Source organism: Homo sapiens, chromosome 8 (genome assembly GCF_000001405.40).
Source record: "Homo sapiens chromosome 8, GRCh38.p14 Primary Assembly".
In the NCBI taxonomy this organism is placed as follows: domain Eukaryota; kingdom Metazoa; phylum Chordata; class Mammalia; order Primates; family Hominidae; genus Homo; species Homo sapiens.
In genome coordinates this window covers 127,955,654-127,983,240 of record NC_000008.11, presented here as the reverse complement: position 1 = coordinate 127,983,240, position 27,587 = coordinate 127,955,654, and the positions used below count along the sequence as shown (strand labels likewise).

General features: G+C 48.0%; 1 long non-coding RNA gene and 1 other non-coding gene across 52 annotated transcripts in view, besides 6 other annotated features; both read right to left on the bottom strand.

Moving 5' to 3' along the window:
* PVT1 (Pvt1 oncogene) overlaps positions 1 to 27,587 on the bottom strand; it is a 306,733-nt gene that overhangs the window by 118,016 nt on the left and 161,130 nt on the right. For 3 of the 51 annotated variants that reach the window (NR_186120.1, NR_186123.1, NR_186142.1), the window contains one exon: positions 762 to 881. The exons of 47 other annotated variants lie outside the window; for them this stretch is intronic. This is a non-coding gene — a long non-coding RNA (Pvt1 oncogene). Of the gene's footprint in view, positions 1 to 761; positions 882 to 13,703; positions 13,826 to 27,587 lie in introns of all 51 variants that reach the window. One more of the 51 variants, NR_186126.1, reaches the window with a different exon arrangement.
* Positions 2,706 to 2,755: an enhancer, noted in NCBI's record as "active region_27954". NCBI's record gives its function as "activates an Ori minimal core promoter by ATAC-STARR-seq in GM12878 lymphoblastoid cells {active_cell/tissue: GM12878}" and the evidence as "EXISTENCE:reporter gene assay evidence [ECO:0000049][PMID:35858748]".
* Positions 6,304 to 6,393: a silencer, noted in NCBI's record as "silent region_19535". NCBI's record gives its function as "represses an Ori minimal core promoter by ATAC-STARR-seq in GM12878 lymphoblastoid cells {active_cell/tissue: GM12878}" and the evidence as "EXISTENCE:reporter gene assay evidence [ECO:0000049][PMID:35858748]".
* Positions 18,331 to 18,942: an enhancer, noted in NCBI's record as "H3K27ac-H3K4me1 hESC enhancer chr8:128976545-128977156 (GRCh37/hg19 assembly coordinates)". NCBI's record gives its function as "activates a minimal SCP1, AML or CMV promoter by ChIP-STARR-seq in naive H9 embryonic stem cells {active_cell/tissue: H9 hESC(naive)}" and the evidence as "EXISTENCE:reporter gene assay evidence [ECO:0000049][PMID:30033119]".
* Positions 22,257 to 23,232: an enhancer, noted in NCBI's record as "fragment used in the MYC e2 reporter construct". NCBI's record gives its function as "activates a MYC promoter by reporter assays in K562 erythroleukemia cells {active_cell/tissue: K562}" and the evidence as "EXISTENCE:reporter gene assay evidence [ECO:0000049][PMID:27708057]".
* Positions 22,546 to 22,608, bottom strand: MIR1205 (microRNA 1205). The gene has a single exon (NR_031610.1). It is a non-coding gene; the product is annotated as a microRNA 1205 (primary transcript).
* Positions 22,739 to 22,850: a transcriptional cis regulatory region, noted in NCBI's record as "e2 or genic|chr8:128972465-128972985 region (GRCh37/hg19 assembly coordinates) targeted for CRISPR interference". NCBI's record gives its function as "positively regulates MYC gene expression in K562 erythroleukemia cells {active_cell/tissue: K562}" and the evidence as "EXISTENCE:mutant phenotype evidence [ECO:0000015][PMID:31784727]".
* Positions 25,081 to 25,892: an enhancer, noted in NCBI's record as "H3K4me1 hESC enhancer chr8:128969595-128970406 (GRCh37/hg19 assembly coordinates)". NCBI's record gives its function as "activates a minimal SCP1, AML or CMV promoter by ChIP-STARR-seq in naive H9 embryonic stem cells {active_cell/tissue: H9 hESC(naive)}" and the evidence as "EXISTENCE:reporter gene assay evidence [ECO:0000049][PMID:30033119]".

Sequence of the window (27,587 nt, the reverse complement as noted above, 5' to 3'; positions counted from 1 at the left end):
CATGGCCAGGCTGGCAGGGCCATCAGGAAATAATTAGGCCACATCCGAGCCATCCAGCAGCCTGGCACATAGGTGAGCTGGGATTTGACCCCAGGCTGCCTCAACAGGAGGCCAGAGGGAGGCAGGTACTCCAAGTCAAGCAGCAGCCAGCCCCAAGATCAGCCCTTCCTCTGAAGCCGAGGCCCCACGCACTGTAAGGCCGAGCCCTTAATACGGCTGCAAACTTCAGGGGAGCCCAGACCCGTGTCTCCCTGCCCTGTGTACTCCCATCACACTGCCCCCACCACTGTGCACAACAGGTGCTCAACACTCGTCTGTAGATGTACTCATGGACACACATCTTCTTTTCAATAATGCACAGACTCTTTCAGGAAGAAGGAGCAAGAAACCTGCAACAACTGTGTCCCAGGGAGGAGAAACAGGGGTCTGGGGACATGAGGGTTGGCAGTCTTCATTGGAAAACTTTGTATACCTTTTGGATTTTGTGTCTTGTAAATGCTTTACTGATTCAAAAAGTTTTGTTTTGTTTTTCTTAATTCTTTTAATTGATTCATTTATTTTATTAATTAATTAATTAATTAATTAATTATTTTTGTAGAGGCAGAGTCTCACTGTGTTGCCCAGGCTGGTCTGGAACTCTTGAGCTCAAGCCATCCTCCCTCCCCTGCCTCCCAAAGTGCTGAGATCACAGGCATGAGCCACTGAACCCAGCCATTTTGTTTTTTTAATATAAAAGGAAAAAAAGAAATTGACAAAGTTACCTGTGAGGCTGCCATGAGTGCGAAGTCATGAGTAATCCCATGCTACTTAATGCTGAGTCCCCGGCACACAGCTGTTGCTCACTATGCTACACATCCTCTTGTTTTCAGAGGGTGAAGAGACTAGAATGATTAAAGACTCAGAGTCAGCAGCATCACTGATTTTACTGGAGAGTGTTTAGATTTGATCACCAAAAGTCCAGTCCTTATGTTTCTGAAACTCTAGAGCTGCTGTTAAAACAAGGTAGGAAAGCCAGCCTCAAGTAATCCTAACATCGTTATCCAACTCCAATAGGTGCCAGGAACTGTGAAGATGTTTTCATCCCTACAACAACCCAAGAAGGTGGGTAGGTGCTCACATTATCCCCATCTTACATTTCAAGAAACCACGTCACAGAATGGTCACAAAAGGCGCCCAAGACCTCTGCAGAGGGAGAAGCCTGGTAGGTGAAGGAAGGAAGTCTAGCGCCAGAGACTGGGCTTCTAAAGTCTATAGTCTTGAAGGGAATGTGAGGACCACCACTGTCCCAGGAAAAAAGGATTTTGACTCAGAGAACCCTGGGTTCCAAGCCAAGCTCCCTCCAAAAGCCGCAGGTGTGGTCAGACAGCCTTTGGTGGCACCACCTCCTGGGAGGACTGAAGAAGATAATATGTGAGGAAATGCTTTGGAAACTGTAAAGTGCCATGCAAATCTCACCGTAGAAACAGAGGATGCAGTGGGGGTGTGGGAAGAAAGGAGGCATCTGGAAGTTCAACCTTACCAGGACGTTTTCCCTGAGCCATTAGAAGTATTTCCACTCCTAGTCTTCTACCTCAAACTTTCCTTTTTGTACTACACTTACATTCAACTTTCCCTCAAAAACATCCTCCCACTTCAGAGGTGTTAAGTTATTAAGTCAGCCCTAAATGTAAATAGTTTTCATTTCTCTAACCCCAAAAACCTCCCTTCCCGCCAGCATGCTTTGGTCTTGTCACCCAGAACATCAAAGCCATTGTTTTCCGTAAAAGCGTTCTGATCACTTGGGTGACTTGTGCAGATAAACACCACCCACCACATGCCAGGCTGTGCAGCACCTTCCTGGTGCCCTGTCAGGAGGTGAACGCGCCAGGAAAAAATGCCGAACTCTACTGGCAAATGCTTTGCACATGGTCACATGCCCTGCACCTCTCTCCAAGCTCTTTGGGTAGCCTTGGCCAGTCCCTTCCCCACAAGGGCCCTCTTGCAGAGGAAAGAGGTTGGACCAAGCAATCTCTAGTTCTCCTTGAGATCTAAAATTCACTGATTCCATCTCATCCTCCCTGCTAGGAACTTCCTGAAATATAATAGTTCATTTACAAACACACACACACACAGAAGCTAAGTAACTGGGTATAAGCTGGGCTCTAAGCCTGGGCGCGGTAGCTCACGTCTATAATCCCAGCACTTTGAGAGGACAAGGCAGTGGATCTCTTGAGGTCTGAAGTTCAAGACCAGCCTGGCCAACATGGTGAAACCCCATCTCTACTAAAAATACAAAAATTAGCTGGGTGTTGTGGTGGATGCCCGTAATCCCACCTACTCAAGAGGCTGAGGCAAGGAATCACTTGAACCCAGGGGGTGAAAATTGCAGTGAACCAAGATTGCACCACTGCACTATATCCTGGGCAACAGAGCGAGACTCTGTCTCAAACAAAAAAAAAAAAAAAAAAAAGAAGCTGTAGTTTTTGGTGACTCACAGAGGAGAAAATATATTTTTCCACTTAGCTCAAAAGAATGGTTCCTCCATTCTTCAATTACTCAACTGATGTAATGATGTAAAGTCACCAAGCCAATGGGGCACCTGGGGAAGTTCCAGGCTCCTGGGAGTTCAAACGTCAATGAAGGTAAGTGAAGCAGGGAATTTCCTATGGTGGACAGGTGCGCCCAGAGGTGGGCTGCAACAGAGAGCCCCCTCCCTGAGAAAACATCCCATATCCATTCAAGTCTCCAGCTCAATAAGCCACCTTCTAGGGAACCCAGGAAACACTGAGCCCAACGCTGGCCCAGAGCCCATCGTCCAGGAAGTCACGCCCCCAGTATGCAGGTTGCCTCTTCCAGGAAGTCAGTGTTGAGCCACCGCTCAGCCCAAACCCCCTAGACTATAACCTCCGTAAGGGTAGTAATCGTGACTGACATGTCATAGGAACATAATAGATATACATATTTGCTAAATGAATTACTCACAGTGCTTCCGTAAAGCTTAGGTAATTCCATTCCCCCCAATACTGTGTGCTTTTATGTACTAGATACTGGGGATAAAATGGTAAGCAAAGCAGATATTTGGCCAGGCACAGTGGTTCACACCTATAATCCCAGCGCTTCAGGAGGTCGAGGCAGGAAGATCGCTTAATGCCAGGAGCTCAAGACCAGCCTGGGGAGCACAGTGAGACCCCATCTCTACAAAAATATTTTAAAAATTAGCCGGATGCTGTGGTATGGACCTGTAGGTCTAACTACTTGGGAGGCTGAGGTGGAAGGATCGCCTGAGCCCAGGAGATCAAGGCTGTAGTGGGCTATGATCATGCCAATACACTCCAACCTGGGTGACAGAGCAAGACCCTTTCACTGAAAACAAACCACCACCACAACAAAAAAACAAAGCAGATGTTTCTCCATCCAGGCTTCTTCTAAAGCAGTTACTAAAGTGCTGGCAGATGACCATCAGCTATCAGCCCTCTCTGGGAACTGCCTTGGCCGAATACAATCACCTTGTTCAAGATTAGGCATCCTTTGGGTGGTGGGGTCGGGGGCACATGAAATGACTGATCAACCCTCACCTCAATTCAGGACAATTCTGAAGGATCAGTCTAGCTCCCAGGCTCCTCTGGCATTGGCCTTTGTTGGGACATTGTTACAGCTCCACTTCTCCCTCTGCCCAACTATGGTTTCTTCTCCTTCAGTTTCACAGCTGTTGATCCCAAAGGAATCCCATAATAAACATCCTACTTGCTAATCTACATCTTAGCGTCTGTTTCCTAGAGAACACAGCCTGCATCGCAAAGGTTTATATGACAGATGCTCAGGCCTTGTGTCACCAAGATGAAGGTTCCAGGACCAGAAGGGCAAACATATCATAGCAAATGGGAGCTACTTTGTGGGAACACCTTGCTGACAAGGATGGAAAGCCTGGACTCAAGGCTGGCATCAACAAGCAAGGGTAGTGAGCAGTGTGCAAACACTTGTGATCGTTTGAATGCGTGGATGAATCCCAGCTCATTGAGTTAGAGACCCATTTTCTTCAACTTTGTTCACCTAGCACCTAATATAAAAAAGGAGTTTGGTAAAACTTCTGTTGGGTGATTAGATGATGACCAGATGGACAAATAGATAGATGAACTTACACATTTGGTTGAGTTTATTGTTAGACAATAAATGAAAGATGATTATTTGGTACAGGTTAAATTGTGTCATTTGTGTAAAGTATTAATCACAATGTCCAAATAACAATAATGCTAAAAATGGCAACCGCCAAGGCGGAAGGGTCACTTGAGGCCAGGAGTTTGAGATCAGCCTGGGCAACATAGTGAGACCTACAAACACAGACACACACGTAAATACATTAGCAAGGCAGCTTAAGTCTAGGAGTTCAAGAATACACTGAGTTATGTTTCTGCCACTGCATTCCAGCCTAGGCAACAAAGCAAAACCTTGTCTCCAAAAAAAATTATAATAATAATGGTCCGGGTGCGGTGATTCACACCTGTAATCCCAGCACTTTGGGAGGCTAAGGAGGGCAAATCACCTGTTTTCACGAGTTCTAGACCAGCCTGGACAATATGGTGAAACCTCATCTCTACTAAAACCACAAAAAAATTAGCCAGGTGTGGTGGCACGTGCCTGTAATCCCAGCTACTCAAGAGGCTGAGGCAGGAGAATCACTGGAACCCAGGAGGCAGAAGTTGTAGTGAGCCGAAATTGTGCCGCCTCTGCACTCCAGCCTGGGCAACAGAGCGAGACTCCGTTTAATAATAATAATAATAAATAATAATAATAAACAAAAACATGACAACTAAGGCTGGATGTGGTGGCTCAGGAATGTGCATTGGGAGGCCAAAGCAGGAGGACCACTTGAAGCCAGGAATTTGAGATCAGCCTGGGCAACATAGTGAGATACTGTCTCTACAAAAAAAAATTTTTTTTTAAATTAGCCAGGTATGGTGGTACACACCTATAATCCCAGCTACTCAGGGAGGCTGAGGCAGAAGGATTGCTTGAGCCCAGGAATTTGAGGCTGCAGTAAACTATGATTGCACCACTGCACTCCAGCCTGGGTGACAGAGCAAGACCCTATCTCTTAAAAAAAAAGAGAAAGAGAAGTAAGCTACTCATGGAGAACTTCCTGTAAGACGTAACTTGTGATCAGCAGCTTGAAAGAAGTGACAGTGTGGAAGTAAGCATGCAAGAGAAGAGAAGAGCAACAAGACATTAGCACATAAGCCCTGACTCTGCTCTGCTCATCAGATGCTGGGGTAAATATAACACTGTCACTAGGATAGCCCAGCAATGCATGGGGAAGCATGCTGTCACCTAACACCCATCACCACGGACGTGGGTGAGAACATGCCTGCAACCAGGGGAGATGAACAGTTGACAGAAGGCACCGAACTTACAACTGCGGTTTACAGACTTAATCCTATAGTGATAAGAAGCCTTCAAGCTTATGGAACTAAGGTGTTGGGTGACAGCTAGTAATGCAAGTGTCAGAACTGATACAAGGTATCTTTTTTTTGACACAGAGTCTGGCTTCGTTGCCGAGGCTGGAGTGTGGAGGCATGATCTCGGCTCACTGAAACCTCCACCTCCTGGGTCCAAGAAATTCTCCAGCCTCAGCCTCCCGAGTAGCTGGGGTTACAGGCATGTGCCACCATGCCAGGCTAACTTTTTTGTATTTTTAGTAGAGATGGGGTTTCACCATGTTGGCCAGGCTGGTCTCGAACTCCTGATCTCAAGTGATCCGCCCACCTCAGCCTCCCAAAAGTGCTGGGATTACAGGTGTGAACCACCATGCCCAGCCAAGATTTCTTAAATAATCCAACCTTTGAACTGTCCACAGTTTCTTCAGGTATCTCCTGCAGCAGATGGGGGCTTAGGAAGTACCTGGAGCCTCCATTGTGAGAAAACAGCTTCAGGGGCAGAACCCACACTTGAGAAGCCCAGACTCCAGCTTCAGTTTCCCCCCAGGAAATGTACACACCCTGGGGGCCATCCTCATTCAGATGCCCACCAGACCTACTGCACATCCTTATTTCTGAGGGTGATACCTGGAGAAAGAGATGAGAGGATTAAGGACAAGGGGAATAAATTAGAGCCTGGGCTTTGTGCAAACAAGAGTAAGTGATGAGGACAATAAGAAAGGGATAGTAAAGTTTGCTTGGGAAAATCACAAAACCAGTGGCGTCACAGAGGCTATTTGCTAAGTGGTACGAAGTATTCTAGAGAACACTGATGCCTTTAGCCTATTACTACACATCGTGGATCTGGGAGCACCTAAAACACTAAATACTGGGGCTGTCAGAGATGGCAGGTGGGATGACAACTCAAAAAACCAAACTCCAGGGAAGGCTGGGATGCTGTGTGTCAGGTTGAAGGTCACAAGTCACAAAGAGGCAGTAAAGCTCAGAGCTGAAGCAGACAGGCCTTGCTGCTGAGCTACCTGGGCTGGAACTGAGTCTCCACCACTTCCTTCCTGTGTGACCTCTGTGTGGCAGAGCAACGAGCACCTCCCTGAGGCTCAGACCTGATATATGATATGGGGATAAGGATACAGAGCCCCCAAAGTGTCTGTCAGAACTGAACATGACCTGTGCCAAGCCCCTGATGCCTGGTTAATGTTCAATAAGTAGGTGCCGGTGTTATTATAACCATAGGTCACAGTGCCACCCTTTCCAACTGTACTCCACAAATCCCTAGGGGGTCAAGAGAGCCTCCTGAGTGACTTCTGGGGGCCAGGTGGAGATGGGAGGTTCAGCAGGAGGACTATAACCCTATTTTTATCAAAGCAGCTCTCCTTTAACAAGTTACAGGTATAAAGCTTGCATATAAGATTTCAGTAGCCAGTGGAGTTTGAGGGCTTTAAGACAGCAGAAGAACTTCAAATATTCATCCTCTTGTTTATTAGTAATAATAATAAACACTCAAGAAAGCAAGGAACTCATCTAAACTCACCTGGCAAGTCAGAGGCAGGGAAAGGGAAGCTGCAGCTGCTGGCCCTGAATCTCCCACACAGGCAATTAAAGCTGCTCTGGAGAAGGGTTGGAAGAGATGACCTCTGAGGTTTCTTTTAACTCTGAGATTCTGCAACTGCAAGTTGAAATTCTAACTCCCATCCTTTTATTCCCCCTGAGTTGAATGTGGGCATTTCTGCAAACCCAAAGATGTAAGCTCCACTCTTCCTTAGAGACAACAAGGCTCTTTAAAATCCATCCTGGCTTCTCCCTGCTAGCCTCAGCCTTCCTACAGAGGAAGGTTCCAGCTGGAGAGCTAGGGAGGGCTCCAGGCACTCAATGTCAGACAGGCAGAGACAAACAGGGCTAGAGAAGCCTCCAGCTCCACAGGATGTGGTGAGTGAAGCAGCAAGAGAAAACCAGAAAAAACCATCTAGAAACACAACAGCCCCACAAATAAAGAGACAACATGAACACACAGGGACTTTTCTTCTCTTCGTTTTTCAAGCTAGGAAACCGAAAAATAGTTGAAGGAGCTGTATCTCAAAGCTTTCTGAAGAAAAACCCTGCCTAGCTCATAAGACAAATCTAGGGGGACAACTGTTAAGTTTGAAGTCATAAAGACCATAAGGCCAGTTCAGTGATTTCATGCAGAACCCCACGACGTGAAGAGCAGGGTGTTGCAATCTCAGCCTTCAAACTCAGGGGCCAGTGTGCTAAGCTGAATTTCATACAAAGGCTCAATGTTGAAGCTCGCTCATTTTAAGTCAAGGCTGCGTTGCAACTGGCTCAACTTGAAGGCATCCACATGGAAAGTAACGAACTTGGCTGGAGGAGCAGCCAATGTCAGCATTCCCAAAGAGAGTTGGTAAACACACAGAGGCAAAAAAGAAAATTGGCCTCACTAAGGATAAAAAAATATATAAATCTAACAAGAGATCATTCTGCATCCATTGAATGATAATTTTTTTAAGCTAATAATACCCAGTGTTGATGAGGTTGTGGTGAAACTGGCATGTCCACATGTTGATGGAAGCAGCATAAACAACCTTATTTGAAAGTAATTTGGCAATGTGGGACAAGAGTCATAAAACTGTGCCCTTTGACTCAATAATCCTGCTGAGAATCTGTCCAAAAGATTTTCCAAGAAGAAAAAGGTTATATGCACGAAGATGCTCATGGCACCCTTAGAAGTGTAACGGCAAACTACTAGGCACTTTAATTTTTAACAACAGAGAACTGATTTAGAATATGACTTGTCCACTTGATGAAGCATTATATACTCTCTAAAAATGATCATTTGTAAGCTGCTTTAATAAAATGAAAAAATATTTAGGGTACATCAAATGTTTAGGATATATTATAATAAAAATGTTTCCGCTTTAGGATTAAAAAAAAGTGACTACAAACTATTCCCTACACCTATGACTATATAAAATCATTAATTAATGTAAAGACAAAACATATCAGATATCTGAAAACAATCTGATTAGTCAAGGAAGAGTTACTGATTTTGTTTTCTCACCCGTATCTATTCTTTGGAAATACAATGCTGTGTAATAAATGACATCAATAATGATGATGGGCTGGGTGCAGTGGCTCGCACCTGTAATCCCAGCACTTTGGGAGGCCGAGGCAGGTGGATCATTTGAGGTCATGAATTTGAGACTAGCCTGGCCAACACGGTAAAACCCCATCTCTACTAAAAAATACAAAAGTTAGAGCCGTGTAGCAGTGCGCACCTGTAGTCCCAGCTACTCAGGTGGCTGAAGCAGGTGAATTGCTTGAACCCGAGAGAAAGAGGTTGCAGTGAATCAAGATTGTGCCACTGCCCTCCAGCCTGGGTGAGAGTGAGACTCCATCTCAAAAGAAAAATTAATAATAATGATGATGATGATGATGATGATGCTGACTTTTTTTGGGAAAACTTCAATAATGGATAAAATTAGGATAAAACTCTGGGGAACTGGAAATAGAATTCAGGATATGAGAAAGGATCAAACTCAGAGGCATTTGAGCATCAAGTCAAAGAAATATGATCTCTAATCAGAGAATGGAAACTGTAGGCACCAATGGGGTGATATATTAGCAACGTCAGCTCTCCAGGCCCCATGGCACATCCGGCAGTATCTGATCATCTCAGCTCTGTAAGATTCAGTCTTCTTCCTCCTCCTCCTCACACAGCCCAGTGTTCAAAGAGGAACAGAAAAACCCAATCTGTGTAATTTAAGTGCCCACCCTTCGAAAATATAAAGCCCTGCTGAGAGGCCAAGAAATAAATACTGAATTTCCTAAACTATGTCTTCTTTTTTTTTTTTTCTGAGACGGAGTCTCGCTCTGTCCCCAGGCTGGAGTGCAGTGGTGCGATCTCGGCTCACTGCAAGCTCCTCCTCCCGGGTTCACGCCATTCTCCTGCCTCAGCCTCCCGAGTAGCTGGGACTACAGGCATCCACCACCACGCCCGGCTAATTTTTTTGTATTTTTAGTAGAGATGGGGTTTCACCATGTTAGCCAGGATGGTCTCGATCTCCTGACCTCGTTGATCCACCCACCTCAGACTCCCAAAGTGCTGGGATTACAGGTGTGAGCCACCGTGTTTGGCCTTCTTTTTTTTTTTTTCAAAAAGGCAACTTGGGTCAGCTTCTACACTGGCACTAGAAGTAATGAGGAACTTTAGTTTTCCATCAGGTGGGACCTAGTTGGGATTTCCAGTGTGGACCACAATCCCAACACACAGTTGTCCTCACTGAAAGTCCAAGCAGGGGTGGCCAAGGCAAAGGTAGCACTTTGGAATCACAGGGGACCTAAGTCTAGTTCTGACTCCAACAGTACCAGCTCTGTGCCTTTGGGCATGTTATTTTACCCCCATGACCTCAGTATTCACATCCATAAAATGGGGACATTTCAGAACTTTCCTCCTAGCAGCATGGTGAGTACTTAGTGTAGCTCCTGGCAGTAGTCGCGGCTCACTAACTGGTGGCTCTCTCCATTATTCTTATTTCCTATGTACCCCTGTCATTGATTCGTCTCCCAGGTCTTCAGGTACCAGGTGTGCACACATGGCAAGGGAGGGCACACAGGTAAATGACTAAATGCAGCTGAACAGCCAGGCATGGTGGCCCACACCTGTAATCCTGGCACTTTGGGAGGTCAAGGCAGGAGGATTGCTTGGAGTTCAAGACCAGCCTGGGCAACATAGCAAAACTCCATCTCTACAAAAAATATATACATATATAAAAACTTAACTGGACATTGTGGCATGAACCTGTAGTCCTAGCTACTCGGGAGGATTGCTTGAAGCCAGTAGTTCGAGGTTATAGTGAGCTATGATTACATCACTGCACTCCAACCTGTGTGACAGAATGAGACTCTCTCTCTAAAAATTTGTTTTAATCAAAAATTTTTTTTAATATACAGCTCAAACTTGGCTGACATTAGGATCACCTGGGAGCTTCAAGAAGCACAGATGCCCCAGTCCTTCCCAGAGCAATTATGTCATCAGCTTCTCTGGGAGCGGAACCCTGGCAAAGCTATTTCTATTTATTTATTATTATTTTTTTTGAGACAGAGTCTTGCACTGTTGCCCAGGGTAGAGTGCAATAGCGGGATCTCGGCTTACTGCAACCTCTGCCTCCTGGGTTCAAGTGATCCTCCTGCCTTAGCCTCTTGAGTAGCTGGGATTACAGGTGCCTGCCACCACACCCAGCTAATATTTTGTATTTTTAGTAGAGACAGGGTTGCACCATGTTGGTCAGGCTGGTCTTGAACTCCTGACCTTGTGATCCGACCACCTCGGTCTCCCAACGCACAGCTATTTTTAAAGCTGATTCCACTGTGCCACTGGGTTGGGGCACATCTAACTCAAGCAGGAGCAACCCAGTGATAATTGACTTAGGCCACAGTTCAACAGCTCCAATTGAAACCATCGAACACCCTGTGAGTGACCAGCAAATAAATGGCAAGGGGCTCCCCAACTCCCTGCCTGCTGCTCAGCCCAGTGACTTTCTGCAAAGCAAGAAAGCTGGCCGGCTGGAGTGGCCTGCCCCACGGAGGCCACTGGGAAGCACCTGACCAATATGGGTGGCGCACTGACAGTCTTGGGGTGAACACAAGCCCCTGGGGCAGAACTTCGCCCCAGCATGCAGCTTGAAGGTCTTGCTGCTGCCATCCCAACACTGGAGTGCAGCAGTAGTTCCTGAGGAATCTGCAGGCTCCTCAGGAGCAGGTGTCCAGGGAGGCTGAGGCCAGATGCCTTGCCTTTCCCAGCCCCAGTGAAGAGACCAGGACAGCAATTCTCAGACTGGCTTTTCCAAGGGCGATCTGAGTAGAGGAGGGGCTTGCTGGGCCATCTTCACCACAGTCATCTGCCTGACAGTCTCACTTGGCCGGACTGTCCGAAGACCAGCATTCTACTCTTCCTTTCTCCATTTCTAAAGAATCCTCAGTAAACAGCCTGAAGCCTCGATAATAACAGCCCGTTTCTGTCCCGGTGGTGACAGATATGCTAAGAATGTTCCATGCACACAACCTGCAGTAGCTCCTGTAACCTCACAGTGGGCATTTGGGGTTGATGCTGTCCTTATCCCCATTTTACGGATGAGAAAAGCGAGGCCCAGAGAGGTAGTCTACCTTGTCCAAGGTCATAGCAGACTGGAACTCGTGGCCTGGCATGGGTTCCAGAGGCTGGGCTGCTCTATGCTACACTGCAGTGCCCTGGCTTGAGGGCTGCCCTCTTCATTGATTCCTTCCTTTAATCAAAAAATATTATTGGGCCCCTGCTCTATGCCAGTGCAGGGCAGGGGGCTGGAGCTATTGCATGGGAAGAGATATAGGCGGTCTTCTCAAGAGCTCTCACCTGAAAGCTAACTGTCACAAACAATCCCTAACAGATCATGTACTCTTGGAAACCTCTCTAAGCAGTGTGGGCCTGGACCGTCTCCTGCAGAGGCCCAGCAGGGGATGGAGGCAGAGGAGCAGGGGATCAGGGTGCAGGCTTCAGGGTCAGGCAGACCTGGAGGTGAATGCCAGCTGTGTAGGGACTGGCTGCATGATCTGGGCAAGCTCCTCCCTGGCCCTCGGCTGCCAAGGCCTGCTATGCAGAGCAAATGAGAAACTGTCTGCCCTCCATAAAAAAATAGCTCCGACTAGTTAGAAATCAGAAGTGCAGTTTAGAACCGGGGCTGGCAATCTTTTTCTTTAAGGGTTAGACAGAAACTATTTTAGGCTTTTTGCAGGCCACAGGGTCTCTGTCAGGACCAGACTCTGCTGTTATAATGGTACCTAAGCAGCACTGATAGCACATAGAAGAATTGACATGGCTATGTGCCAATACAATTTTATTTACAAAAACTGATAGCCTGTCAGTTTGCTGGCCCCTGATTTAGATGACATGAGATGGGACATGTAACAGCCATGACATCAGTTAGCTGAGTCATAACCTGCTCTGTTTTCATTTTCTTTTGCCTCCTCCTAGAGCACTTGGGCTTTAAGGTAATAGTGATTCTCAGTTTTTTGAGGTTTCCTACTTTCTTTGGTGGTCTTTAGTTTTTGTTTTTATTTTTTGGGGAGGTGTCTTACATAGCTTTATTTAACCCTAAAGTGCCCATAACCAACGATGAGACCCCAGTCCTAAGTCTTCCCCCTGGCACCTGTTAGGCTGTGACAGAGGGTTGGAGATTGACGGCTAGTAAAAAAACAAGTCGGCTGGGCGTGGTTGCTCATGCCTGTAATCCCAGCATTTTGGGAGGCCGAGGCGGGCGGATCACGAGGCCAGAAGATCAAGACCATCCTGGCTAACACGGTGAAACCCTATCTCTATTAAAAATACAAAAAAAATTAGCCAGGCATGGTGGCGGGCGCCTGTAGTCCCAGCTACTCGGGAGGCTGAGGCAGGTGAATGGCGTGAGCCTGGGAGGCAGAGCTTGCAGTGAGCTGAGATTGCGCCACTGCACTCCAGCCTGGGTGACAGAGTAAGACTCTATCTCAAAAAAAAAAAAAAAAAAAAAAAAAACAAATCATGGCAGATGGAGAGGAATGTGAATGCGGACAAAACTCTGTAGCTTATGCTGAAATGTGTGCCCCCTGAGGGTCTGAGGAGACAGAGAAAGGAGAAGAGAAGGTTAGGCATAGCAGGAAAGGTGAGTAAGCCACATGCCTGGATGCACAATTCCTGCTCATATGGTAAGGCCTTTCCTTCTTATTCAAGAGCCAAAGGGGGGTTGGGCATACTTGCTCCAGGCAAAAAGGGCTGCTGGAGACCATGGGTGTCAGAGCCCTGTCTTCTTGTCTTCTTTTCTGGGAAGAAAAGTTCCACTTCATCCATGCAACAAGTTCCTATCACCCCTGGGCCCACTGCAAAGAATATCGCCCAGACTGGATGGACAGCGCTGCTCCTGCTCTGTCCTCTGCAGACAAGCTTTTGTCCTGGGCCAATAGTGGCCTCTATGTCAGACAGGCCAGGGTTCAATCCCAGCACTTGCACTGGTAAACTGTGTAGACCTTAGGCAAGTTTCTTATTTCTGAGTCTCACTTTCCCATCTTTATCTTGGTGGTGAAAATAGCTATATTCATCCACTCAGCAATCATTTACTGGAGTGGATATGACTCTTTACTTCCTAGCACTGTACCCAGGAAGGGCTGAGAGAAGCCTGGAACACAGTGAGTACTCAGGAAGAGGCAGTGAAGAGGACTGCAGATTCCTTGGAAGCCCAGCACAATGCTGACTCACAGGAAACAAACAGGAATGTTTGAATGGCTGCATACCAATCTGAGGATGACTCGAGCCCCCAGATGGTCAGTGTCCAACTCAGAGGGCTGTAGAACTTCAGAACATGATATGTGGTGGCCAGCAGGGGCTCCAAAAGGCATCCTGGAAAGGCCGGGGTCTGAAATGAACAGATTTTAGGTGGGTCAGAAAAGCTCTCGGCCAGGGAGAATCAAGATAAAGGAATGGAATCAAGATAAAGGAATGGAAACCAGCAGAGCCTGGGGGTCGCCACCTGGTTGATGCAAACTATGGGTTGGAGGCTTGGATTACCAGATTTCAGCAGATTTAATGACAAGTCCTATGACATAATAAATACCCATTAATAATGAAGAATGAAAGAGAGGATTCCCAGCCATATCAGCAGAGGCAAGTGTCAAAGTTCGCTTATAAACATGCAATTCCTTGCTCTAAATGGAGTCTAGGAAAGCCATCACCTCAAGATAGGATGAGATTCCCTTCTGTATTAGATTCTCAGGGTACAAATGGTCGCAAAATAGGTGGCTTGAAACAACAGAAATGTTTTCTCTCACTGTTCTGGAGGCTGCAAGTCCAAAATCAAGGGGACAGCAGGGCCGTGCTGTCTGTGAAGCCTCTGAGGGGAAACCCTTCCTTGCCTCTCCTGGCTTCTGGTGGCTGCCAGGAATCCATGGCCTCCCTTGACTTGGTGCTGTATCCCTCTAATCTCCACCTCCATCATCACATGGCCTTCCTCCCAGAGTGTGTCTGTATCCACGTGTCCTTTCTCTTAGAAAAACATCCTTCATTGGATTAAGAGCTCACCATACCCCAAGATGACCTCACCATAACTTTATTACGCCCTCAAAGATCCTTCCAACTAAGGTCACGTTCAAGGGCACAGGGGTTAGGACCTGAACATATCTATTTAGGGGATACAATTCACCCACTGTACTAACCCTTTTAGGGCCTCCCTGATACACCCTACTGGCCAGCTTTTGCCTAAGCCAGGCCTCTCATTGTGTCTTCAGTTAACAGGAACATAATCCTGCGTCCCTGGTGGCAACTGTAAAATCAGAGAAGCTTCATGTGCTGACCTCATCTCCAAGAGCACTTACGTTCTGCATCCACGTCAGTGCTGTCTTGGTGTCTCCCTAATGGTATTTTTGAAAGAGGTTTCAAACCACCCCCCATCCCACCCCACCCTACAGCTGAGCCAGCACTCTACACTCAACAGGCATCCAGATGCATGGTGTCTTAACAACAGACATCCCCAGACCTGCAACAGTTAGGAAGCCAGGCAGTTAGTGAGGGACCATCGAGGACAGATCCTGTTCCCAAAAGCCAGGCAGGAGGGTCACTTTGGAAAAGGGACGTATACACCCCTGCCTGTTTTGCAGGTTCTCCCAATCAGTTCTGACAGATCCAGAACTTCTCCCCAGCTGCCATTTGGAAAACCCTATGCAATCTGTGTATGGAGTCAGCCAGGCAGACCTTCCATAAACATTTGTCAGGCTCCACTCTCCTACACAGGATTGTTGGCTGAGCACAAATGTGAACAAAGGTCAGCACCGAATAGGAATGAGTGCTCCAAAGTCATACGTTTCCGGAGCCTTCAAACCCAAAGCGCCCTCTCAAGGCAGCATCCAAGCACATACTACAGGCGCTCAATAAATGTCAGTGGAGGCAAACTGACCAGAAAGACTTTTCCAGTCTGTAAAGGGAGCCTGTGTGTGCTCAGAGACTCAGCAATGAATCTCCTGTGAGATGTCTGGCAAGTTACAGGACCATCGTGAGCTCTTCTCCTTATCTGGATGTAGAAAGCTGACATTAAAAGGAGTCTTAAAGCACTTGCCATACTTTTCCTTTCCGTCTTTGTGGCAGGAGCGGTACTGCCCAGGCAAGCTGTCCTTTATTCAGGAGATGGCTCAAAGTAGGCTGGGAAAATACAGGGTGAGCCTTTCCTGACGAGGCCTTATTCTTGGCAGGGCCACAGAGCACCCTCTGGAATGAGCTTTGTGGTAGATGCCAGGCAGAAGCATTTACTGACCTCGTGGTACTGTCCAGAACATGCACAGATGAACACACCACTTGCTCAGGGTGGCCCCAGTGCTAGCCTCTGCCGTTTTTCTTCCTTTGAGCCAGTATTGTATTACAAGCCCACTTTGTGTCCCACACAGGAGGAGACTTGGGCAAACAAGAGCGCAGCCTTCGTGGGACTAATCCCAGGCTCCTCTCCTCCTTCCCCCCTCTTCTCTAAGCCCCCCAGAAGTTAACCTCTCCTTCTCCCCACTTCACTGCCCAGTTCATTCTTCATCTTCCAGGAGAGATCCCGGGTCAGGTTTTCCATTCAAAGAAAGGCCCTGTCCTTCTGACCTGTCCCTTTGTCATCAGCGGGTGGGTATGCATCCATTCTCACCAAACAGCATCCAACCTGCAATCAGCCCTGGGGTGGGTGTCCCATGAGCCTCCAGAAACAAACACTCATTACCCAAGGCGTTGTCAGGTGTGCCACCCTCGAATTAAAGTCTTCCAGGGCTAGCATCAGCTGCCTCCTCGGGATTTTCCTTTCTGGGGCAAAGGGGCCTAGGGCTCAGGACCCATCTCAGCCAGCAAACCCACTAGCCATAGCTCTGGGATACCCGTGACAGGGGGCATGGAGTCTCGGCACATCAAGGGAAGAAAAAAAGAAAGGCATTCTAATATCCCCGTCAGCAGGTACTCCCCACCATACCCCTAAAAGATGAAAGGAGAATCCCAACAGTCAAATGGTTTCCTGAAAAGTCCTTCCTATGTCCCATTGTGGCTCACACTTGACTTTTACAGCGCTGACATATGCTGTCCAATGGGGTGGCCACTGGCTACATAGGGAGGGCTATTTAAATTTAAGTCTGTTGAAATTAATTCACACAAAAATTGCAGTCCCTCAGCTGCTACAGCCCCAGGTCAAGTGTTCAACAGCCCCACGTGGCTAAGGGCAAGGATGTCAGGCAGTTCAGGTTACAGAAAGCTCTTCACTGCTCCCAAGGCCTTATCTGGCTGCTGAGAAGAGGGGCAAGCTCCATCCCCCATCTTGTGCCCCAGTTATGTCCCAGTTTAGCTTCCTAGAGGTATAGTGGAAAACAATTCCATAGTGAGAGAAATGGGCATAGCTCAGAAATCAGCAAAAGAACTAGTGTGGGGTTTTTTCTAAGACTCAGGGTCCAAGTGCAGCTCTGTTACTTACTAGGTGCATGAACCTCAGCAATTCAGGTCACCTCTAGCTTCCTCATCCCCACAATGGGGGCAAAAATACTCTCCCTGACTCTTTCCACAGCTTTTGGTACAATTATGAGACTCCATAACCCAGGTAAATTCAATACCATACAGTGGCAGGATCAAAAACAACACTGTACTATTAACGTTTGCATTCTCTTAGACGCTGTTATTATCATTCTTGTTTTGTTATGAAACCATCAGCTACATTGATCCACCAGCATTTATAGGGACTCTAAGTAATGCAATTTAATTTAATGCAAACCAAGCAAGCTACCCCCTCCATGTGCCTCTGGCAAAACCTCTAAAACTGGACTTTCAATTATACTATTTATTGTGACATTCTCTTTCACTGGTTTTCCATCCCTGATTCTGCATTCATATCAAAGTAGTCTTTCCAAAAGGTAAATCCTGTAACCTCCTTGCCTCTCCCCCTCACCTAAAGTCTGCATCATCAGGAAGGTAGGATGGAAGCTCTTCAGAGCTTCAAGCACAGAGCTCCTGGCGGACTCTGAACAGCCTGCTCATCTCCTGCCAATCTCTGTTCTGCACCCAACACCTGACTCTGTTAGTTCCTAGATGTAGGGCAGAGGCTCGGACACCCAGCTCAAAATGGACCAAAAGGCAGCAGGCGGTGCAGGGAGCCGCCTTCTCTAAATAACTCTACTGCATCTGAAGTGCCTGCAACTGACACATCCAAGGGCAGAGTGGAGAGAACAAGGAAGGGTCCCCCAGGACCCAGGATGGCCATTTGGCTTTAAATGGGGGGTGAACAGAGCTGTGTCTTTGGCCTCTCTGTGACTGTGCCAGGACGATGCCACATTCCCAGTGACAGATGTAACGCCAGAGCCTACAGCAAGCCTTAGAGTGAGCAGCTGCCTGAGAAACCAATCATAACTGTCCAGCCCCATGGTAAACTCTCTGTCTGACGCTGTGAGGGGTAGGGGGAGCCTGAGGCTCTGATGAATCTGCCAACTGGCTGTGAGAAAATGTGTACATTATACCCACTTAGGGGGCAACATTTTTTCATTGGTGAACTTGGGTAAAGTATATGAGGGAGTTCTTTGTACTCTTCTTGCAGCTTTTACTCAATGTGAAAGTGAAATTATATCAACAAAATTTTAATTACCTTTTTAAAATATGTATATATTTCTCATATAAGATAAGAAAAAGTGACAAAACCACAGAAAAGAGCATCTGGATATGAGGTCTAAACCTTGGCTTTCCCCAGAAGTGCTGGGGCCTACTAGTGTGGGTTGAATGCTGTCTTCACCCACCGAAAAAAGATATTGCCCTTAGAATCTGGTGCCTATGACCTTATTTGGGAAAAGGGCTTTTGCTGATGTAATGAAGTTAAGAATCTTGGATAGGAGTGGGGGCTCACGCCTGTAATCCCATGCTGTGGGAGGCTGAGGCAGTACAATGGCTTGAGCTCAAGAGTAGGAGAGCTGCAAGGGGAACATGGTAAAACCCCATTCTTAAAATAAATCAATAAAATAATAATAAAATTAAATAAAGTTGTTTAAAAATAATAATCTTGAGATGAGATCATTGGAGGCCCTAAAACATGAGGAGAGACGGACATAGAGAAGGTACGTGGAGACAAGAGCAGAGATTGGAATGATTCTGCCACAAGCCGAGCAACATCCAGTGCCACAAGCAGCTGGAAGAGGCAAGGAAAGGGTGTCCCTTAGCACCTCAGAGGGTGTCAACCTCGCTGACACCTTGATTTCAGACTTCTGGCCTCCAGAACTGTAAGACAATAAATTTCTGTTGTTTTAAGCTACCAAATCTGTCGAAATTTGTTACTGCAGCCACAAAAAAACAATAAGGGCCTTTGCCTCCAGCAGGAGAAGGAAGCCAGGCTTTGACTCTGGAGGGTCTGAAGCCCAGTGTGGCTAGAACCCTTCCGAGGACCTCCATCCTCCAGTTCTGCTCCCACTGGTGGCTTCGGTTGGTCGCTGCTGTATCCGCCAAGCTGAGAATGGGCCACCACAAGACAGGCATAACCAGGAACTATTTCTGAACCAGTGAGCTAATGGCCTCCCACTCTGACATCCAGGTGCATGCAGGCCTGCTGCAGGGAACACACCACCGAACATCTGGGAATGACAACTGTCAAAACAGGACTCCCAGCAGATGCTGCTCCTCTCCAGGCATGGCTGACTTGCCCCTCTTTGCCCAGCCTTCCCTGAACCCATCTGCTTGTCCTGGAAGGACGCTCCTGGGGGTCATCGTCGTCATGGCACTCCTTCATCTGCAATAAGCCTTCGCAGTCCCTGTGGGGATCTCCCTCCAGCTGTGAGTTCCCTCACAGTGCAAATTCAGCCATTCTCCACTCGACATTCAACCCCTGACAAACGTTACTGGACGAATAAACGATCCTAGAACTGAAAACAGAATACGAAGATATTTCTATTCCAACTCTTCAGTCAATATATATTCAAACCAAGAATCAGAGAAGTGGAGGGAACCACCAGGACCAGGTCCCAAGGCACGCAGGACAAAGGCCATGCTGGATTTAGGGCAGGACTCCATTCCTCCATTCCAACCCCACCTGGGCCCCAGCTAGATCAGCTTCCTCCCCAAACATCATTCCCTGATGTTTCCCAAGTGCCAAAAATCATGCCTGACACATAGTACATGTTTGAGTGAATATTTATTAAATAGGCCCAGAAGTCAGAGTGGAGATGTACAAAGTTGGTTTCAATATTTGTAAATGCTGCTGCTTCAAAAAAAGGGTGGAGGGGGGTGGGGGGTGCTGCCTTTCTATGGAAAAGTTAAAAATATCTAAGAGTGCTAAATCCCCCTGTGTTAGTAGTTCAGGGAACTTTTCTGCCACACTTTTTCTCAGAGGAGGCAGGAGTGGGTGAGAACAAGAATTGAGTGATTTCCAATAACAACGCTAGTGTAAACAACCACACTCACCCATGCACCAAACAGGTGGCAAATCTCACCAGGTGTCAGACACTGAGAGAAGCACCAGGGACACACAAATGGCAAACCCCAGTCCTGCCCCGTGGACCGCACCATCCAAGGTAGAGGGCAGGCAGTCACCAACATGGTGGCAAGTGGCCGATGCGAGCCTAGGACCTGGGATAACAGAGCATGGTGTGAAGTCAGCCTGGGCAGGGGCAGGAAGGCTGCCGTGCGAGGGGTGGAAGATCTCAGAACTGAAAAGATCCTGTCTTGGGCACTTCTAGGAAGAAGAGAAAGCTGCTGGGCAGGGTGAGACCCAGACTCTGTTGAGGAAAGAGAGGAGAGCTGGCCAGCCCGATCTCAATCCCGCAGGCCAGAGGTCCATTGGGGCCCTCTTCCAAACACCTCCTCTTCCCTGACCACCCCAGTGAGGATCTGACACTACTGCCCATCTGCAAGTAAAATAGGGACTGCTCCTTTGTAAAACAGGGACCCTAAAATGCAGATGAGGCCAGGCATGGAGGCTCATGCCTGTAATCCCAGCACTTTGGGAGGCCGAGGTGGGCGATCACCTGAGGTCAGGTGTTTGAGACCAGCCTGGCCAACACGGTGAAACCCCGTCTCTACTAAAAATACAAAAATTAGCCAGGTGCAGTGGTGTGCCCCTGTAATCCCAGCTACTCGGGAGGCTGAGACAGCAGAATCACTTGAACCCAGGAGGCAGAGGCTGCAGTGAGCCGAGATAGCACCCCCGCACTCCAGCCTCGTCAACAAATCGTCAACAAAAAAAAATAAAATGCAGACGAACCTCCAGAAGACAAGGACAAAAACCGCAACCTGGGTGTGAGAACACCCAGGCCCTAGGCCTTAAGAGGGATGGTAACCCCTAGCCCTGTCATCTACAAAATAAGGTCACAGCAGAGCTAGATGATCTATAATGTCACAGCTGAAGTTAAAAAATTCAATGAGTTGATCACACCCAACTCAAGGTGCTGGCTTAAGGATTAAGAAGGAACACATGTGTCAAAAACCATTAGGCTGCAAAGCAGTGCCACCGATGATCATGTGTACAACAACAACCCCCTAAATGTGTGGCCCACTCCCAGTGAGCCAGCCCTGGGCTCAGAATTCTACATTCATGGCCGGGAGCGGTGGCTCACGCCTGTAATCCCAGCACTTTGGGAGGCCAAGGCAGGTGGATCACGAGATCAAGAGATTGAGACCATCCTGGCCAACATGGTGAAACCCCGTCTGTACTGAAAATATAAAAATTAGCTGGGAGTGCCCCTGCAGGCCCAGCTACTTGGGAGGCTGAGGCAGGAGAATCGCTTGAACCCCAGAGGCGGAGGTTGCAGTGAGGCGAGATCGCGCCACTGCACTCCAGCCTAGGCGACAGAGCGAGACTCCGTCTCAAAAAAAAAAATTCTACATTCATTATCTCCTTCGTCCTCACAACAAACCTGGAGAATGCAGAGGTGCTACATTTCTACCCACTTTATAGACCAAAATGTGAAGTTACAGGTTAGTCATTGTTGAAGCCAGAAACCAGGAGTCAGACTCGGGCAGGGGGGGCCTCTGGAGCTCCTGAAGGCCATCCCCACTCCCTAAACAAGGTTGAGAAGGTGTGGTTTAAAGAGGAACACCATGGAAGGAAACCAGTGCTTTCTTCACTTTTTAGTCTGGCAAAACAATCCTTCAAGTTGTTCCGTGGTTTGGAGAACAGTAATGTGTATGGGTAACAGGTGCTCAGTGGTACGGACAAGGTTATACATTTCCAGCCTCAGAGTCTTCAAGGCAGCTTGCTGGTAGGAGAACCTGGATTTGCTCATGCAGTCTTGGGCACAGCCCTCACTTACCTTAGATGCTCACCCAGCTTGGGGTGGGGCACAGCCCCTCCAGACTCCAGCCCAAACAATCCCCATCACCTCCGCATTTCCTAGTACAACACACAGCACCGAATCTATTCAGTGGCCTAAGCTGGACACAGAAAAGAACATTTTACCCCTTCCTTCCTGTAACCCCAGAGGCTCTTCGTGCACCGCGTTCAGGGACTTCTCTCTTGGGTCTCCAGTGCATCCCTGTCTCCTCCAGCTCAGGCCCCGTCACCACTGGCCACCAGCTTGGACCTCCCTCTGATCTTGTCTTCCTATGGCAGAGGCCATGCTTTCTGAAATGCTAATCTCTCCCTCTCTCACCTCTGCTTAAAATCTGCATCATGAGACCATCGCCCTCAGCACAAAGTCAAAATGGTCTTTCTAGGATCTGGCCTCTGCTTACCTTTCCTGTCTCCCTCCTGCCTCTTCTCTGGGCAAACTCCTTCCTTCCCCTGACCACCCTAAGTCCACACCCTGGGCCCTTCTGTGTGCCTATGGCACCCTGTGTCCCCAGGCAGGCACCTTGGCTGTGATTATCTGATTTCTCATCTAAATTCCTCCCCTATTCGTGCCCGCCCGCCCCCCCCACCCCCAAACACACACACAAGAGAACAAAAAATCTCTAAGGAAAAAGAGCACTTCCAACTCATTCCTGTACTTCCAGAATGCATGCAGCACCATGCCTGGCCTGCAGTATGTGCTCAATTAAACTATTGCATAATGAGAAATACCCTATGTTTTGAAGTGTCCAGGAAATTGAAACAATAATACTCTCTCCCCACAAAAAACAGAAAACAGTTATCTATGCCTCAGTTTTTGTGTCTGAAAAATGGAGACAGACTCCAGAACAGGGTTGACAGGAAGGAAGTACCTCAAAGCAAACCCTGCAGAGGCCTTCAGTGATAAGTGTTCACTTTCCCTATCTTCAGCTTGCTGATTTCCCTATCGTGGTGCATCCATCCAGAAGGCCACAAAGATCCTATCTCCCACCAACTGAACTTCAAAAGCATCTTTATCTGCAGAACCCACCTCAAGGAAGGTCGATTCCTAACTTCTCTCGGTGATCCTTTTATTCTGGGCTAGCTAGGCACACCCGCCCAGCCTTATCTGTAATGTCCCCAAGCTGTTGTCTTTCCAGGAAGGGTGTCTCCTATCTACAGGCCTCCAGGAGGCAAGACCAGGGAGGCAAATGGAGGAGAGCCACTCTGTGACCTGAGATCTGGCTTCTGCCACCCTCAAGCTGTGTGACCTGGGACAAATCAACCCATTCATCAGAGGCTCAGCTTCCCCATGTACCCCTCTGTTCAAAAAAGGGAGTAGACTCACGGACCCTCCAACTTGGAAACTGCAGTAACAGGCTGTACTGGACATGTTGAATGAACACCACAATGGCTGCCTAAGCCGATCCCTTCTAGCAAAAGAGGGAGAGTGAAGCAGAAAGAAATCAGGGAAATTTCCAGAAATCATGTCATCCTGGGTTGCCTGAAGATGACAAAACTACGACGTACAGGAGACCCCTTCCAGGAATCACATACTGCATCCGGGGAAGGCCAGAAGTAAGTGCAGACATACATGAAAAGGCAGGCATTAGGGATGGTTAAGTGGATGCCAATTCCCTGCTTCCAGAAATGAACTCAGCCTAATGAAAATTCTGCAGGCGCCTCACCTGTATATTGCACTTGGGGCTAGGAGTGCAAGCCACCCAGGGGCTCCTGACGGGCTGCTCACCTAGGTCCCAACCCCCTTCTGCCATTTCCTAACCGGTTTGTTCTCAGCCTCTTTGAACTTCAGATGCTGAGCAGCTTAACAATGTCTGAACAGCCTAAATCAGCCTCTGGCCCATTAAAGATGTCTGTTTCCTGCCTCCTTTCCTTAAAGAGTTTCAATAAGAAGAGCTCCTTTAAGGGTAGGCACTGGGTCTTTTTTTTTTTTTTTTTTTTTTTTCCTGAGACAGAGTCTCGCGCTGTTGCCAGGCTGGAGTAGAGTGGCGCCATCTCGGCTAACTGCAACCTCTGCCTCCCGGGTTCAAGCGATTCTCTTGCCTTAGCCTACCGAGTAGCTGGGACTATAGGCACGTGCCACCACGTGCAGCTAATTTTTGTATTTTTAGTAGAGATGGGTTTTCACCATGTTGGCCAGGCTGATCTCGATCTCTTGACCTCGTAATCCGCCCGCCTTGGCCTCCCAAAGTGTTGGGATTACAGGCGTGAGCCACCGCGCCCAGCCTGGGTCTTTTAACTTTTATATCCCCAGAGTGTAGAATATTTAGAATACCAGAATTCCTTTATAAATGCCCACTAAATGCGTGGATAAGATAAAAACATAAGACAGGAAGCAATCAGGGGACTGATAGTCATCAGTTCGCTTGGTAAAATGCACTCACGTGGCTAGCACTCAGAAGACATCCCAAATCTCCCTTCTGCTCTTTCTCCCTTAGAGCCACACAGAAGCTCTGCAGGCCTGAGCCCACCTACCCCACCCCACCCCACCCCGCTAAGGGGCAGCACAGAACAGCAGCAAACCATGAGGACCCAGGCCACCTGCTGGGTTCCCATCTTGGTGCTGTGACCGTGACAACTGACTGAAACCCTTAAGACTCCCCTTCGATAGTATCCACTTCACAGTGAGCTAGGAGGACTCTGTGAGTTCAAATATGACATGTGCTTAGAACCAGGCCTGGCACATGGCTCCCGTGGCTGTCAGCTATGGGATCATTCGTGCTACTATTGTTATTCCGTACAACCAGATGTTGGAAAAATTCTGGAGTCACCGAGCCACAGAAGGCACACATCCAGATCCCAGATTGCAGCTGTCAAGTCACACTTTGAGCCTTGGACTTGGAATCCTAAATCACTGGGTCAAATCCTGGCTCTCATCTACCTCTGGCGCCTGACTTTCTCCTCTCTGAGCCTCAGTTTCCTCCCCTGGAAAGCAGACCTTTCAACCTGCCCTGTCTTCCCCAAAAAGGGGATCAAATAAAACAGAAAGCATGGGCCGGGCATGGTGGCTCATGCCTGTAATCCCAGCACTTTGGGAGGCCAAAGCAGGCGGATGCCTGAGCTCAGGAGTTCGAGACCAGCCTGGGCAACACGGTGAAACCCCAGCTCCAATAAAATACAAAAAATTAACTGGGCATGGCGGTGTGCACCTGTAGTCTCACCTACTCGGGGGGCTGAGGCAGGACAATCACTTGAACCCAGGAGGCGGAGGTTGCAGTGAGTGGATATCGCGCCACTGCACTCCTGCCTGGGCGACACAGCCAGACTCTGTCTCAAAAAAAAAGAAAGAAAAGAAAAGAAAAACAAAAAAAGAAGAGAAAAAAACAGAAAGTATGAAGTTTTCTAAGGTTGGTATAGTAGGTGCTGAATAAATATATTCATTTAAATGAATAGTTTACAACCTCCTCCACACTTAGATCAGCCAACCAACCACTCTGTCCATCCTGTTTGATGCCACGCCCGTGTTCCCTTCACCTCACCACCTGTCATTCCCATGTGCCTCTCTGCTTTCTGTTAGGGGCACTCAGCTTTGATCACCCAGCAGGGCTTCTGGTGCCAGGGAATTAGAAACCATGGCCAAGATCTGAGAACATGTCTGTCCCCATATCACACAGGCTGCCCGCTGTTTCTCGGCCTTGCCCTGCAGAACGAGGCACGGCAGGGAAGCTGGAAAGTGCACCCACACCTCCCCGCCATGCGCATGCCTGTGTGCACCTTGTGTGTGTGTGCATGTTCAGGGGTTGCAGTGCTATCAGCTGCGCAGCACAAGCTGCAAAGCCTCCCAAGGCAAAGAGAAACACTCGCTCCCAGGACCGGGAAGGCCTGAAGAGGAACGAGCTGTTTGGCCCTAGGCAAGTGACTCCTCCTGTATCTCAGTCTGTTCACCTATAAAATGAAGACCATGTCCCCCATGGCCTGCAGAAGACTTTTTTTTCTTTTCTTTTCTTTTTTTTTTTTTTTTTTTTGAGACGGAGTCTCGCTCTGTCACCAGGCTGGAGTGCAGTGGCGCAATCTCGGCTCACTGCAACCTCCACCTCCTGGGTTCAAGTGATTCTCCTGCCTCAGCCTCCTGAGTAGCTGCACGGTACAGGCTTGCACCACCACACTCAGCTAATTTTTGTGTTTTTAATAGAGATGGGGTTTCACCATGTTGGCCAGGATGGTCTTGATCTCTTGACCTCGTGATCTGCCCACCTCGGTCTCGCATAGTGCTGGAATTACAGGCATGAGCCACCGTGTCCAGCCAGAAGACATGTTTAAAACCACCCCTGAAACTTGAGTCTGTAGAGGGCTTCATGTCACAGGCTATCATGGTGCTTTTCCTAGTGCTCGGGAGCAGAGTGTGGATCCTGCCATCCCCAAGCTGTGCAACCTGGGGCAAGTGACTTGGCATCTCTGAACCTACACTTCCACATGTGCAAAATAGGGATGGTACTAGTAGCTAAAGTAGAGGTAAATGGTGGTTGAAAAGTTGTTTGAAAAGCATTAAACCACCATGCAAGCTAGGCCAGTGATGACTGGTTAATCACTAGAGAGAATAAAAAGTGATAATGATAGTGATGATGATAATAATAGTAATAATAGTGCCTACCATAATAATGAGGCCTATGACAGGCCATTCTTAAGATAAAATAAAAATGAAAAAATAAGAACAAGCTTCTGCTAAAAGGAGGGCTCTAGCTCAAGTGTGAAGCAGACCCTGTTTTCAAGTTTTGCAGAGAAACATGAGACTTACAAAAAAATTAAACTGGCAGGGCGCAGTGGCTCACGCCTGTAATCCCAACACTTTGGGAGGCCAAGGTAGGCGGATCACGAGGTCAAGAGATCCAGACCATCCTGCCCAACATGGTGAAATTCCATCTCTACTAAAAATACAAAAGTTAGCTGGGCGTGGTGGCGCGTGCCTGTAGTTTCAGCTACTCGGGAGGCTGAGGCAGGAGAATCGCTTGAACTCAGGAGGCAGAGGTTACAGTGAGCCGAGATCACGCCACTGCACTCCAGCCTGGCAACAGAGCGAGACTTCGTCTCAAAAAACAAAAACAGAAAAAACACAACAACAACAAAAAATTAAACTGCAGAGCTGTGTCTTCCCTTCACCACGGAACCTGGAAAAGAGGTGGCAGTTCTTTCTCCTGCAACAGCTCCCTATCTGTCCCTACACAGTATGGAAAGACAGAGCAGACTGTTCAGAGCTCCCTTCTTGCCAGCCAAGGAAAGGCCTTTGATGGTGCTGGATGGATGAGGGGCAGGCCCCTCTCAGCCTCAGCTCCAGCCCCAGCCCTGCCAGCCTGGCTCTGCACCATCCTTCCTGTGGAACAAGCACTAAGGCTCAACCTGGAACAGCTGAGTGCTGGGGCCAAAGCCAAGGCTCTTCCCCTTGAGCTTGGGTCCCAGATGCCCTTCTCACACTCCATTGTGACATACTATAGTTGTAGATGTACCTGTCTACCTCCCCAAGCTCTGAGAGGGCACTAACCCAGGCTATCTCTGTCAAAGAGGTGGTACAGTATGACAGGCAAATTCAAAGGCCTAGAGGCCAACTACCCAGCTACAAATTTAGCCCTTGCAGAAACTAATTGGGCATCTTGGGCAAATTACTAAGCCTCTTGGAGCTTGGCTTTTTATTTGCAGAATAGAAATGATATTACAGCCGGGTGTGGTGGTTCACGCCTGTAACCCAGCACTTTGGGAGGCCGAGGCGGGCAGATCACTTGAGGCTAGGAGTTTGAGACCAGCCTGGGCAACATGAAAAAATCCCATTCCTACTGAAAATAAAAAAAAATTAGCAGGGTATGGTGGAACGTGCCTGTAATCCCAGCTACTCGGGAGGCTGAGACATGAGAATCACTCGAACTTGGGAGGTGGCGGTTGTAGTGGG